The following is a 13,056-nucleotide window of genomic DNA, read 5'->3' on the forward strand; positions in this document are numbered from 1 at the left end:
AACAGTTGTCTCTTATCTTTGCTACATTTTATATTTTTATATGAAAAGTGTTTCTGACATGGAACAAGTTTAGGTTACTTGTTCAATATGAGGACTAATGCTTTTTGCCAATATTTGTGGAGGAGCCTTTTAAGGTTTTCTTTTACCCTGATTTGTAGCTGTTTTTAGAGCCCCTGAGTCCTTTGAGAGTTCCCAATGGGAGATCAGATGTCCTAAACTTTCAGTAACTATATGGAGTTGAAAGGTGGGATTGAAAGGGAAAAGTCTGGCAGGGGTGAACAGAGGGATTGAAGACATAGGAGTTTGAAGATCGACTTATCGAAAGATTCAAGGAAACCGAAGGGAAAATTGAAGGTGGTAAATGAGGAAGGAGGAGTGAGAGCTATGAGAAGAGAGAAGTTTTAGAAGAGCCTGGGAGCCACTGAAGTTTGAAGTTGCTATAGCCTGAATGTGTTTGTTCCACCCAAATTTGTACACGGATATTCTAATCACCAAGGTGACGACATTAAGAGACAGAACTTGGGGAGGTCAATAGATCATGAGTGTGATGCCCCTGAATGGGACAGGTGCTTATAAAAGAGGCATGAGATAGCTTTTTTGCCACTTCTTTCATATGAGAATACAGTTCAAAAGTACTATCTGTGAGGAATGGTCCCTCACCAGGCATTGAATCTTCCAGTAACTTGATTTTGGACTTTCCAATCTCCAGAACTGTGAGAAATACATTTCCTTGGTTTACAATATAATCGATGTTTAGTATTTTGTTAAAGCAGACTGAACAGGCTAGGATATATTACCCTTAATATAATCATTCCAACAAGAGAAGAAGCCAGCAGAATTGGTAGAGCGTATAGGCAGTGGGGGTTCAGCAACCATGTGAATCAAAGTAAGTATACCCTTACTATACTTCAATGGATTATCATTTGGAGCACTGGATCAGGAGTCAGATCACCAATAAATCCCTTATCAGTCAGTCAGGAGTGAAGACAAAGATTTCACCAATGAACATTTGGGATCCAGGCCAAGAGATCCAGAGGTCCAATGATTAATATGATCCTATTCAAATCATGAATTCATAACTGTTAAAGAAAATTTATTCTGATACTTATTAAAGGAAAAAGGAAGACTTCATTATTATTGCTTAACTTTAAAAAACATTCATCATTATATTTCATATTTTGAAAGTTAAACATGCTCACTGCAAAAATATATGTACATGTAAAACATATAAAAGTAGAAATCACCCATTATTCAATTACCATTACATGGTCACCACTGACATTTTGACCTATTTATGTCCTTTTTATTAACAACATAATATCATAGACATTTTTCATATGTTAAGAACTTAAAGATGACTTATAATAGTCCATCTTGTGGATAATACATGATTCCCACAAACATATCTTTAATGTTAAACATTTATGTTCTCTCTGGTGAAACACAACAAAATTTGCCAATGTATATGAACTGCTTTAAAGTTATTAGTATGTTCACCTATTTATTTCTTTTAAAAGATCACTTCAGCTTATATTTTAGATTCGGGGGAGTATATGTGCAAGTCTGTCAAATGGGAGCACTGCATGATGGTTAGGTTTGGGGTATGGATGATCCCATCATCCAGGCAATGAGCACAGAACCCAGTAGGCAGCCCCTCACCCTTTCCTCCCTCCCCCTTCCAGCAGTCCCCAGTGTCTATTGCTCCCATGTTTATGTCTATGTGTACTCAGTGTTTAGCTTCCACTTAAAAGTGAGAACATGCTGTATTTGCTTTTCTGTTCCTGTGTTAAGTCACTTAGGCTAACAGTCTCCAGCTGCATTGATGTAACTGTAAAGGACATAATGTCATTATTTCTTATGGCTGCATAGTATTCCATGGTGTATATGTACCACATTTTCTGTATCCAGTTAGCCATTGATGAGCACCTAGGTTGACTCCATGTCTTTGTTATTGTGAATAGTACTGCAATTAATGTGTGAGTGTGTGTGTCTTTTTGGTAGAATGAGTGGTTTTCTTTTGGACATATAACCAGTAATGGGATTCCTTGATCAAATTGTAGTTCTGTGTTAAGTTCTTTGAGAAATCTCCAAATTACTTTCCACAGTGGCTAAACTAATTTACATTTCCACCAACATTATATAAGCATCCTCTTTCTCCACAGCTTTGCTGGCATATTATTTTTTGATCATTTATTAATATCCCTTCTGACTGGTAAGAGTTGGTATCTTGTTGTGATTTTGATTTGCATTTCTTGGATGACTGCTGATGATGATGAGTATTTTTTTATATCTGGGTTGGCTACCTTTACATCCTCTTTTGATAAGTGTCTGTTCATGTTTTTTGCCCATTTTTAAAATGGGGTTGTTTATTTTACACTTCTTGATTTAAGTTCCTTATAGATTCTGTACATTAGACCTCTGTCAGATGCATAGTTTATGAATATTTTCTCCCATTCTGTAGGTTGTTGATATACTCCATTGATAGTTTTTGTAGCTGTGCAAAAGCTTTTTAGTTCAATTAGGTCCCACTTGTCAGTTTTTGTTTTTGTTGCAATTGCTTTTGAAGACTTAGCCACAAATTCCTTTCCAAGGCTGATGATGAGAAGGGTATTTCCTAGGTTTTCTTCTAGGATTTTTATATTTTGAAGTCTTACACTTAAACATTTAATCCATCTTGAGTTACTTTTTGTTTATGGTGAAAGGCAGGTGCCTAGTTTCATTCTCTGCATATGGCTAGCCATTTGTCCCAGCACCACTTATTGAACAGGGAGTCATTTCCCCATTTCTTATTTGTGTTGACTTTGGAGATAGTTATAGGTGTGCAGTCTTATTTATGGGCTTTCTATTTGGTTCCATTGGTCTACATGCCTGTTTTTGTACTAGTACCACGCTGTTTTTGTTACTGTAGCCTTATAGTATAGTTTGAAATAGAAGAATGTGATGCCTCTGGCTTGTTCTTTTTGCTTAAGACGGCTTTGGCTATTTGGGCTTTTTTTGGTTACATATGAATTTTAGAATAGTTTTTTCTATTTCTGTGATAAATGACATTAGCAGTTTCATAGGAATAGCATTCAATCTCTAGATTGCTGTAGGAGAAATGGTCATTTTAATGATCCACAAGCATGGAATGTTTTTCCATCTCTACAAATTCTTGTAGAGAGTTTTCACCTCCTTGGTTAGATGTATTTCTAGGTATTTTTTGTAGCTATTTTAAATGTGATTGCATTCATGATTTGCCTGTAAGCTTGAAAGCTACTGGTGTATAGAAATGCTACTGATTTTTGTAACTTGATTTTGTATTCTGAAACTACTAAATAGTTTATTAGTTGTAAAAGACTTCTGTCAGAGTCTTTAGAGTTTTCTAAGGTATAGAATCATATCCTTAGTGAAGTGAGATAATCTGACTTCCTCTTTTCCCATGTAATGTCTTTTATTTCTTTCTCTTTTCTGATTACTCTGGCTAAGACTTGCAGTTTTATGTTGAATAGGAGTCTTGAGAGTTGGCATTCTCATCTTCTTCCAGTTCTTAAGGGAAATCCTTCCAGCTTTTTTTTCTCTTTGGTATGATGTTTGCTGTGGGTTTGTCATAGATGGCTTTTATTATTTTGAGGTATGTTACTTCAGGGCATAGTTTGTTGAGGAGGAAGACTATTTAGCACTATTGTGATAGGCATCAAATCTATTGCAATTGGGTAGTGAAATCACCCTCAACTCTGAGTATAGCAAGGACAGTGGAAATATATAGTCAACCAGCAGAATTAAAGGGATCAAGAGAAAAATTACTCAGAGGAAACATCAGGGTGGGGGAATTATTTCTAAGAATACTTAACAGAATTCTTGCTGAAGATAGGCTGGGGGATAAGCTATCAAAGTTAAGTGATGATGAATTTGCTTATATGTAAAGAGTGATTAGATATCAAGGGTGGGGAATTTTTGTTAAACTGACTTAGCAGAATTTTTGCTACAACTGGGCCATGCATGCTTAGCAAGGATGGGGGCTAAGGTTAAGGCCAAGTCAGGAGAAGGGCTCAGAGAAACCTGACTAAAGTTTATTCAAAGAAAGAAGTTTTTGTTGTTGTTGTTATTGTTGTTGTTTTTCCAGCTTTAAAACTGTGACAAATGCCATAAAGCATGAACTCAAGTCAGTATAGCTGGGAATATATCTTAGCTTTACTTCTTATTTATCTTCCTGAACTTGGGCACGATATACAACTCTTCACACACCCTTCATCTGAAAGATTGCGATAAAAAGAGTTTCTACTTAATAAAACTTTTGCTAGGATAAATGAGTTAATATATTCAAAGTTTTCAGTATAGAGTCCAACACTTAATAAATGCTATACAATAAATAATATTGCTTAAAACAATTTCTTATTACTTTTTCTACTCCAGAGTAAATAGGCCTTTATCACACCTCTTAGCCTTGTTCAGTTTTTAATAGTACTACAGACATCCTGGGTCAACCTCTTTGCCTAATAATCTCAGGAACTTGACCTCCATACTTATGCTCCTCCATTTCAATTTGTTCCCTCACCAGATATAATATGCATTGTACTTATTCCATTTACATTATTGTTCTGGCACTGCAGTTCATTCTCATTTGGAAATCTTCTATGTCACACACCATATATATCCTTTTAAATGCTCTTCCTTCTTTTTCTCTATTTTCTAATCCTTTTACTTGTGCTAAAAACTTCTCTTCTGCTTTCATTTGCCTATAAGACATTAAAGTGTACATATTCAGGAGACAATTGATTACATATTTTTGAAATTTTGAAACCAAATCTTCAACGAAGATACAGTTTTGTGAGATGGAAGTATATAATTGGTAACTGAAGCTATAGTGGAGAAATACGAATGCTAGAGTGAATGAAACTAATCAAAAATATAAAGCCTAAGAAATTGGAGTGATACAAGAAATTCATGGCAGTTTTTTTCAGATAGGTGCTTTTTTCATATGTGTCTTTATTTTCAATTTTTTTTTTAATCTTTTTACACACATTTTAGGTGTACAACAATTTGGTATACACACCTATATAGTGTGATGGTTAATATTGAGTGTCAACTTGATTGGATTGAAGGATGCAAAGTATTATTCCTGGATGTGTCTGTGAGGGTGCTGGCAAAGCAGATTAACATTTGAGTCAGTGGACTAGGAGTGGCAGATCCACCCTCAATCTGAGAGGGTACCATCTAATAAGCTGCCAGTGTAGCTAGGATAAAAGCAAGCAGAGGAATGTGGAAGGACTAGATTGGCTAAGTCTTCTTGGCCTCTATCTTTCTCCCATGTTGGATGCTTCCTGCCCTTGAACATCAGACTCTAAGTTCTTCAGCTTTCAGACTCTTGGCCCTACACCAGTGGTTTGCCAGAGGCTCTCGGGCCATTGACCACAGACTGAAAACTGCACTGTTGGCTTCCCTACCTTTGAGGTTTGGGGACTCAGGCTGGCTTCACTGCTTCTCAGCTTGCAGACCACCTATTGCGGGACATGATCTTGTGATTGTGTGAGTCAATACTCTGTAGTAAACTCCCTTTTATACATACATTTATCCTATCAGTTCTGTACCTCTAGAGAACACTGAATAACATAGATTTTGGTACCAGGAGTGGAGTGCTTCTGCAAAAATACCCTAAAATGTGGAAGTGACTTTGGAACTGGGTAACAGGCAGAGGTTGGAACAGTTTGGAGGGCTCAGAGGAAGACAGAAAAGTGCAGGAAAGTTTCAAACTTCCTAGAGACCCTGAGGGCTCAGAATACATGAAGACGTGGGAAAGTTTGGAACTTCCTAGAGATTTGTCTAATGGCTTTGACCAAAAGGCAGATAGTGGTATGGACAATAACGTCCAGGTTGAGGTAGTCTCCAGTGGAGATGAGGAACTTGTTGGGAACTGGAATAAAGGTCACTCTTGCTATGCAAAGAGACTGGCTGCATTTTTCCCCTGCCCTAGAGATCTATGGAACTTTGAACTTGACAGAGATGATTTAGGGTATTTGGGGGAAGAAATTTCTAAGCAGCAAAGCATTCAAAAGGAAGCAGAGCATGAAAGCTTGGAAGATTTGCAGGCTGACAATACTATAGAAAAGAAAAATCCATTTTCTGGAGAGAAATTGAAGCCTGCTGCAGAAATTTGCATAAGTACCAAGAAGCCAAATGTTAATCACCAAGACAATGGGGAAAATGTCTCCAGAGATGTCAGAGATCTTCAGGGCAGCTCCTCCCATCACAGGCCATGAGGCCAAGGATGAAACCATTGTTTTCTTGGCCAGGCCCAGCTCCCCACTGCCTCATACTGCCTAGGGACTTGGTGCCCTACATCTCAGCTGCTCCAGCCATGGCTAAAAGGGGCCAAGGTATAGCTTAGGCCATGGCTTCAAGGGTGCAAGCACCAAGCCTTGACAGCTTTCGTGTATATTGAGCCTGCAGGTACACAGAAGTCAAGTATTGAGGTTTGGGAACCTCCACCTAGATTTCAGAGCATGTATGGAAATGCCTGGAAGTTTAGTCAGAAGTTAGCTGCAGGGGTGGGGCCCTCATGGAGAACCTCTGCTAGGGCAGTGACAAAGGAAAATGTGGGGTGGGACCCCCTACACAGAGTCCCACTGGTCACTGCCTAATGGAGCTGTGAGAAGAGGGTCACCATCCTCCAGACCCCAGAATGGTAACTCCAGTGACAGCTTGCACGTGTACCTGCAAAAACTGCAGACACTCAACACTAGCCTACAAAAACAGCCAGGAAGGGGGTTGTACCCTGCAAAGTCACAAAAGCATGGCTGGCCAAGACCATGGGAACCCACCTCTGGCACCAGTGTGACCTGGATGTGAGTCATGCAGTCAAAGGAGATCATTTTGGAGCTTTAAGATTTGAGTGCCTTGCTGGATTTCGGACTTGCATGGGGCTTGTAGCCCCTTCATTCTGGCCAATTTCTGCCATTTGGAATTGGTGTTATTTACCCAATATCTGTACTCCCATTGCTTTTGATTTACAAGCTCATAGCCAGAAGGACTTGCCTTGTTTCAGATGGGACTTTGCACTGTGGACTTTTGGGTTAATGCTGGAATCAGTTAAGATTTTGGGGGACTATTGGAAAGGCATGATTGGTTTTGAAATGTGAGGACATGAGATTTGGAAAGGGCCAAGAATGGAATGATATGGTTTGGCTCTGTGCCCCCACTCAAATTGCACCTTGAATTGTAATAATCCCTACGTGTTGTGGGAGGGTAATTGTGGTGGGAGGTGACTGAATCATGGGGGCAGGTTTTTCCTGTGCTATTGTCATCAAATGGAATAAGTCTCATGAGACCTGATGGTTTTATAAAGGGGAGTTCCCCTGCACACTCTCTTTGTTGCCTGCCACCATGTAAGATGTCCTTTTGCTCTTTCTTCATCTTCTGCCATGATTGTGAGGCTTCCCCAGCCATGTGGACCTGTGAGTCCATTAAACCTCTTTCCTTTATAAATTACCTAGCTTGAATATGTTTTTATTAGCAGCCCAGTGGGAGCTAATTGAATGATTGGGCAGGTTTTTCCCATGCCATTCTGGTGATAGTGAATAAGTCTCAGCCAGGTGCACTGGCTCACGCCTGTAATCCCAGCACTTTGGGAGGCTGAGGCAGGCAGCTCATGAGGTCAGGAGATCGAGACCATCCTGGCTAACACGGTGAAACCCCGTCTGTACTAAAAATACAAAAAAAAAATTAGCCGGGTATGGTGGCGGGCACCTGTAGTCCCAGCTACTCGGGAGGCTGAGGAAGGAGAATGGCGTGAACCCTGGAAGCAGAGCTTGCGGTGAGCCGAGACCACGCCACTGCACTCCAGCCTGGGGACAGAGTGAGACTCCGTCTCAAAAAAAAAAAAAAAAGTCTCACAAGATCTGATGGTTTTATAAAGGAGAGTTCCCCTGCACAACTTCTCTTGCCTGCTGCCATTTAAGATGTCCCTATGCTCTTCCTTCATCTTTTCTGCCATGACTGTGAGGACTCCCAAGCCATGTGGAACTGAGTCCATTTAACCTCTTTCCCTGATAAATTACCCAGTCTCAGGTATATCTTTATTAGCAGCCTGAAAACCAACTAATACATATAGTGAAATGATAACTACATTCAAGCAAATTATTCTATCCATCACCTTTTATAATTACTTACTTCCCCTTAAACAAGAGTGCCTAAAAATCTACTCTCTTAGTAAATTTTCAGTATTCAATACAATATTGTTAACTATAACTCTCATGGTCTACATTAGAGCTCTAGACCTATTCATTCTACATAGCTGCAAGTTCATAACCTTTAACCCACTTCACGTCATTCTATTTATTTCCCCTGATTTCCCCAGTAATCACTGTTCTATTCTCTGTTTGCTATGTATAAGTGAAATCATGCAATATTTTTCTTTCTGTATCTGGCTTATTTCTCTTAGCCTAATGTCCTCTGGGTTACCAACATGAATGTTGTGACAACGTGAATGTTGTCACAAATGGCAGTATCTCCTCCATTTTTAAGGCTGACAAGTATATATATATATAATTCATATTAATATATTATTTTCAATCCATTTATCTGTCAGTGGACACTTAGGTTGTTTTCATATCTTGAACATTATGAGTAATGCTGCAATGAACATGGGAGTAAAGCTTGTTTTACTAGGTGCTATTTGCATTTCTTTTATATCTAGCAGAAGTATTGTTGAATCATAAAGTAGTTCTATTTTTAATTGTTGGAGGAAACTCCATGTTTTCCAGAATTGCTGTACCAATTTATATTACCATCAAGAATGTACAAGGGTTCCCTTTACTTCACAGCTTCACCAACAATGATGATCTCTTGTCTTTTTCATAATTGTCATCTTAACAGGTGTGAGGTAATATCACACTGTGGTTTCGATTTGCATTCCACTGCTAATTAGTGATGTTGAGCACCATCTTATATATCTGTTGGCCATTTGTATGTCTTCTTTGGAAAAATGTCTATTCAGGTTCTTTCCTCATTTCTTAATTAGGTTATTTGTGTTCTTTTTTCTATGGAGTTGTGTGAATTCATTATGTATTTCGGATGTTAACACCTGATCAAATATATGGTTTGCAATTCTTTTTTTCCCAATCCTTAGATTCTCTCCACTCTTCATTCTGTTGATTTTGTTTTGTTTTTGTTTTGTGTGTGTATGTGTGCAGGAGCTTTTTAGTTTTATGTAGTCCCACTTGTTTATTTTTGCTTTCGTTGCCTGAGCTTTGGGATTGCAGATACACACTCTCAAATGCTGCTGAGAAGTCAAGCAATATGAAAGTGAAAAAAATTTTTATATTTACTAACAAAATGTCTATAAAAATTTTGACATCTATTATTGCCTGCCTCTATGGTGAAGTTCCTACTGAGAATGTGGAAGGTGTTGAAATTTAAGGTGTAGTTGAAGGAACTGGCCTAAGACAGAAGGAGTGGTATCTCATTTACTAAAACAAACAAACAAAAGTAATAAAAATAGATGAGTCTACACTATAATTGGTTTCATGGCTTCTGTTTACACTGATGAGTGAAAGAGTGTTGAACAAAAAAACATAAGAGGAGAGTGGAGAAGGTTTAAACTTCCAGTTGACAAAAGAAGATTATGATTACGGTAAAATCCAATAGATAGCAGTGATGAACTAACACTTGAGGTTAATAGTAGCAACAAAGGATGAATGGTGAATCTAACCTTGATCATGAGCATTGTCTGACAGTAGTCATCAGTCCAACTGTTGGTCAAGAGAAGGTGAACAATTTCCTCCATTCCAGCATGAATTGGGCTAGGTTTCCATGGCAAAGGTTAATAAAAAATATAATTGTGGGCTGGGAGAGGTGGCTCCCACCTGTAATCCCAGCACTTTGGGAGGCCGAGGCGGGAGGATCACGAGGTCAGGAGATCGAGACCATCCTGACTAACACGGTGAAATCCCGTCTCTACTAAAAATACAAAAAAAAAAAAAAAAAAAATTAGCCAGGCATGGTGGCAGGCGCCTGTAGTCCCAGCTACTCGGGAGGCTGAGGCAGAAGAATGGCGTGAACCCAGGAGGCGGAGCTTGCAGTGAGCCAAGATCGTGCCACTGCACTCCATCCTGGGAGACAGAGTGAGACTCCGGTCTCAAAAAAAAAAAAAAAAAAAAAAAATATATATATATATACATATATATATGTATATCATTGTATATTTGAGAAAAGGATCAATTAAAATTCTTAATTTTCCCATTTTTTCTTCTAACTTCTTGCATTAAAACAGTACTGTTCTCTCATATTTTTTATTTATATATAATTTCAATTATATATTGCAATGATTTTTTTTCAGGATAAACTGTGTTCTAACTACTGTTTTTGTATAATAACCCTAAACTTAATGACATAAAAACATTTGAAACGTACATGAATTCTGTAGGTTAAAAGTTCAACCAGGAACTATAAAAGAAAGAAATGCTCTGGACACTTGTTAAAAATGGCAAGGAAACTGTAGTCCCAGCTACTCCAGAGGCTGAAGCAGGAAGATCACTTGAGGCCAGAGTTTGAAGCCAGCCTTGGCAACATAACAAGACCCCATCTCTAGAAAAAGAAAAAAAAGACAAGGAGACTTCAGTCAAGACTCTTGCAATATGGATCAAGACTGTTTCAATAAAAGAGAGCAATTATATTCAACTTCACTGAAAGAAAAGGTGGGAGAATTTTAAAATGTTGGAATAAGCTAACGGAAAACTATTAGCAAAGGCATTAGCAGATGACATTAGCAAAGAAATTGGTCGAAGTGACTATGTCATCTATCTTTGCTTGAAGTGAGACTCCTAACCTCCCCAGAGATTCAAAATTAGGGACAATATCTCCTTAAATGAATATACCTTTCAAAGGGATTGTTCCTTAAACTTTGACGGAGACATTCCTTGTAAAACTGGTGAGAAGAGGGAAGAAGCTTTACATCTCATAGAGGCAGAGAAAAAGTTTATAATTGCAAGTTGTTGTAAGTAAATGCTCTAGAAAAGAAAGGTCATGGATCTGTAGTCAGGAAGAAACCTGTCTAAGATTAGTCAAGTTGAGAGGAATTTTAAGGCCTTCTTGTTCAGTACAGGGATGAGCTTAGCTGTTTTCCACAGGGTATGGGTTTCAGCTGGAAAGACATGAAGGTTAGAGGTGATTCTATGGCTGGGGGAAGGGATGACTTTTCTCATATAAATAAAGGTTGATGCTAAATGTCAGCTGGAACCTCTGCTGGGATGTCAGCTGAAACACCTGCTCTCCATGAGGGCTAACTTTAGTTTGCTTGCAACACAGTGACTGTATTCCAAGTGGGAGCATCCCTAGAAACAAAATAGATGTGTGTGGCATTAATATAATTCAAGAAGAGTTGTGGAGTCACTTTCACCATGTTTCCAGGTTCAGGGAGATGATTATGTGAGTTGGAAGGCATCGTTGTGTCTATCTACAGAAAGCACACTCTGCCATGGTCAGAAATACTATTGGCCAAGTATAATATTTATTAGGAAAAATTAGATTTATATTTCTAATAAGATGGGATCGTTGTATGCTTTGTTATCTTTTATTTAGAATCGTAACAGAATGTCTATATAATAAATTAGTGGAGAAAGTTATTTTGAACTTGCATTATTTTCAGTATGAATTTTGGAGTAGAATCCACTTATAATTTAGTTGAATTTAAAGAGGGAATAGCTTTACTCTTATTACTATCTTGTAACTGTCAATTGTAATTGTCAATTACAATTACAGCCTAAACTGTACCGAAATTCCTAGGGAATATTTTTCTAAAAGAGCCATAAGACAAGGGTGTGTTCTGATTCTTAATTGCAAGTAATTAAAAAGGCTCATAATCCTTGTTTAACCAAAATCATTTTGAGCTTTCCCCTAGGGAAAAGGTGGTATTATTTATTTATGGCTATACTATAATTCATATATATGTATTTATATAATCGCCATACCAGACTGAGGAATCAGAATTAGTGTATAGAAAAACTAGGTACCATCCTAGAAACTAATATCTGAAATTCACTTTTTTTCTTGGAATATTTGTTGAGTCTCTACTTCGTGTCAGGCATTGGGATAGGCACTGTGATAATTATTTGATGAGCAAGACATGGTACCTACTTGGAAAGCCCATAGTGTCCATAAGTAAGCATGCAATAATTTTCATATATTAAAAATAAACATTTTACTCTGAGTTGTTTTTGAATGATGCAGAAAAAACACAATGTATTTTCCAAATTAGTTTCATATTTCTTTTGAGAAATAAAAATATGAATAAGTAGAACTTAATTATTTGATTTGCAGAAATAATATGAATACAAATCTTCAGCTATTCATTGCTACTTGCTTTTGGAAAAGCAGAAGACTAGATGCTATATACATATGAGTAGCCCTTAGTAAGCAGAAACCCCACTTCTCTCAGATGGTATGTATAATCCATATTGTAAAAGAGATCATCTATTAAAATATATATTGTTTTATACTTTATTTCCTTTTCAATTGCACAGGTTTTATATATTATGCTGTTACATGGCAGGAAAATCTAAATTTCTGATCTGAGGAAACCCTAGTTTATGAGAAGCCATAAATTTCAGATAAACTGGGGTTTGCTGCTTTGAAGGTTACGTTGGTATACACCCAACAGATATAATAATAATTCACATTTTATATATTTTGATACCTCTTTAAAATATTCTAAATGTAAAAGCAATAACAATTTTTATTTATTTTCAGAAATGTCGGTTCACTTGTTCTTAGAAATTGATGTATGAGTTTAAATTTATACAATTTAATTTAATTTAATTTTTTATTTTCAAAAATTATTTATTTTATGGATTTAGGGGTACAAGTCCAGTTGCGATACATGAATATATTGCGTAGTGGTGAAATTTGGGCTTTTAGTGTACCCATCACCTGAATAGTGTGCATTGTACCCAATAGGTAGGATGTTATCCCTTGCCTCCCTCCCTCCCTCCCACCCTCCCGCATTTTGGAGTCTCCAATGTCTATTACTCCACTCTGTATGTCTGTATGTACCCACTGTTTCGTTCTGACTTCTAGTTGGGAACA

General features: G+C 37.6%; 1 long non-coding RNA gene across 1 annotated transcript; it reads left to right on the forward strand.

Moving 5' to 3' along the window:
• Positions 1–687: 687 nt before the first annotated feature.
• LINC02479 (long intergenic non-protein coding RNA 2479) lies at positions 688–12,398 on the forward strand. Its single transcript, NR_147186.1, has 3 exons — positions 688–886; positions 10,400–10,670; positions 12,292–12,398. It is a non-coding gene; the product is annotated as a long intergenic non-protein coding RNA 2479 (long non-coding RNA).
• The last annotated feature ends 658 nt before the right edge of the window (positions 12,399–13,056 follow it).

This window comes from Homo sapiens, chromosome 4, assembly GCF_000001405.40.
Source record: "Homo sapiens chromosome 4, GRCh38.p14 Primary Assembly".
Lineage (NCBI taxonomy): Eukaryota > Metazoa > Chordata > Mammalia > Primates > Hominidae > Homo > Homo sapiens.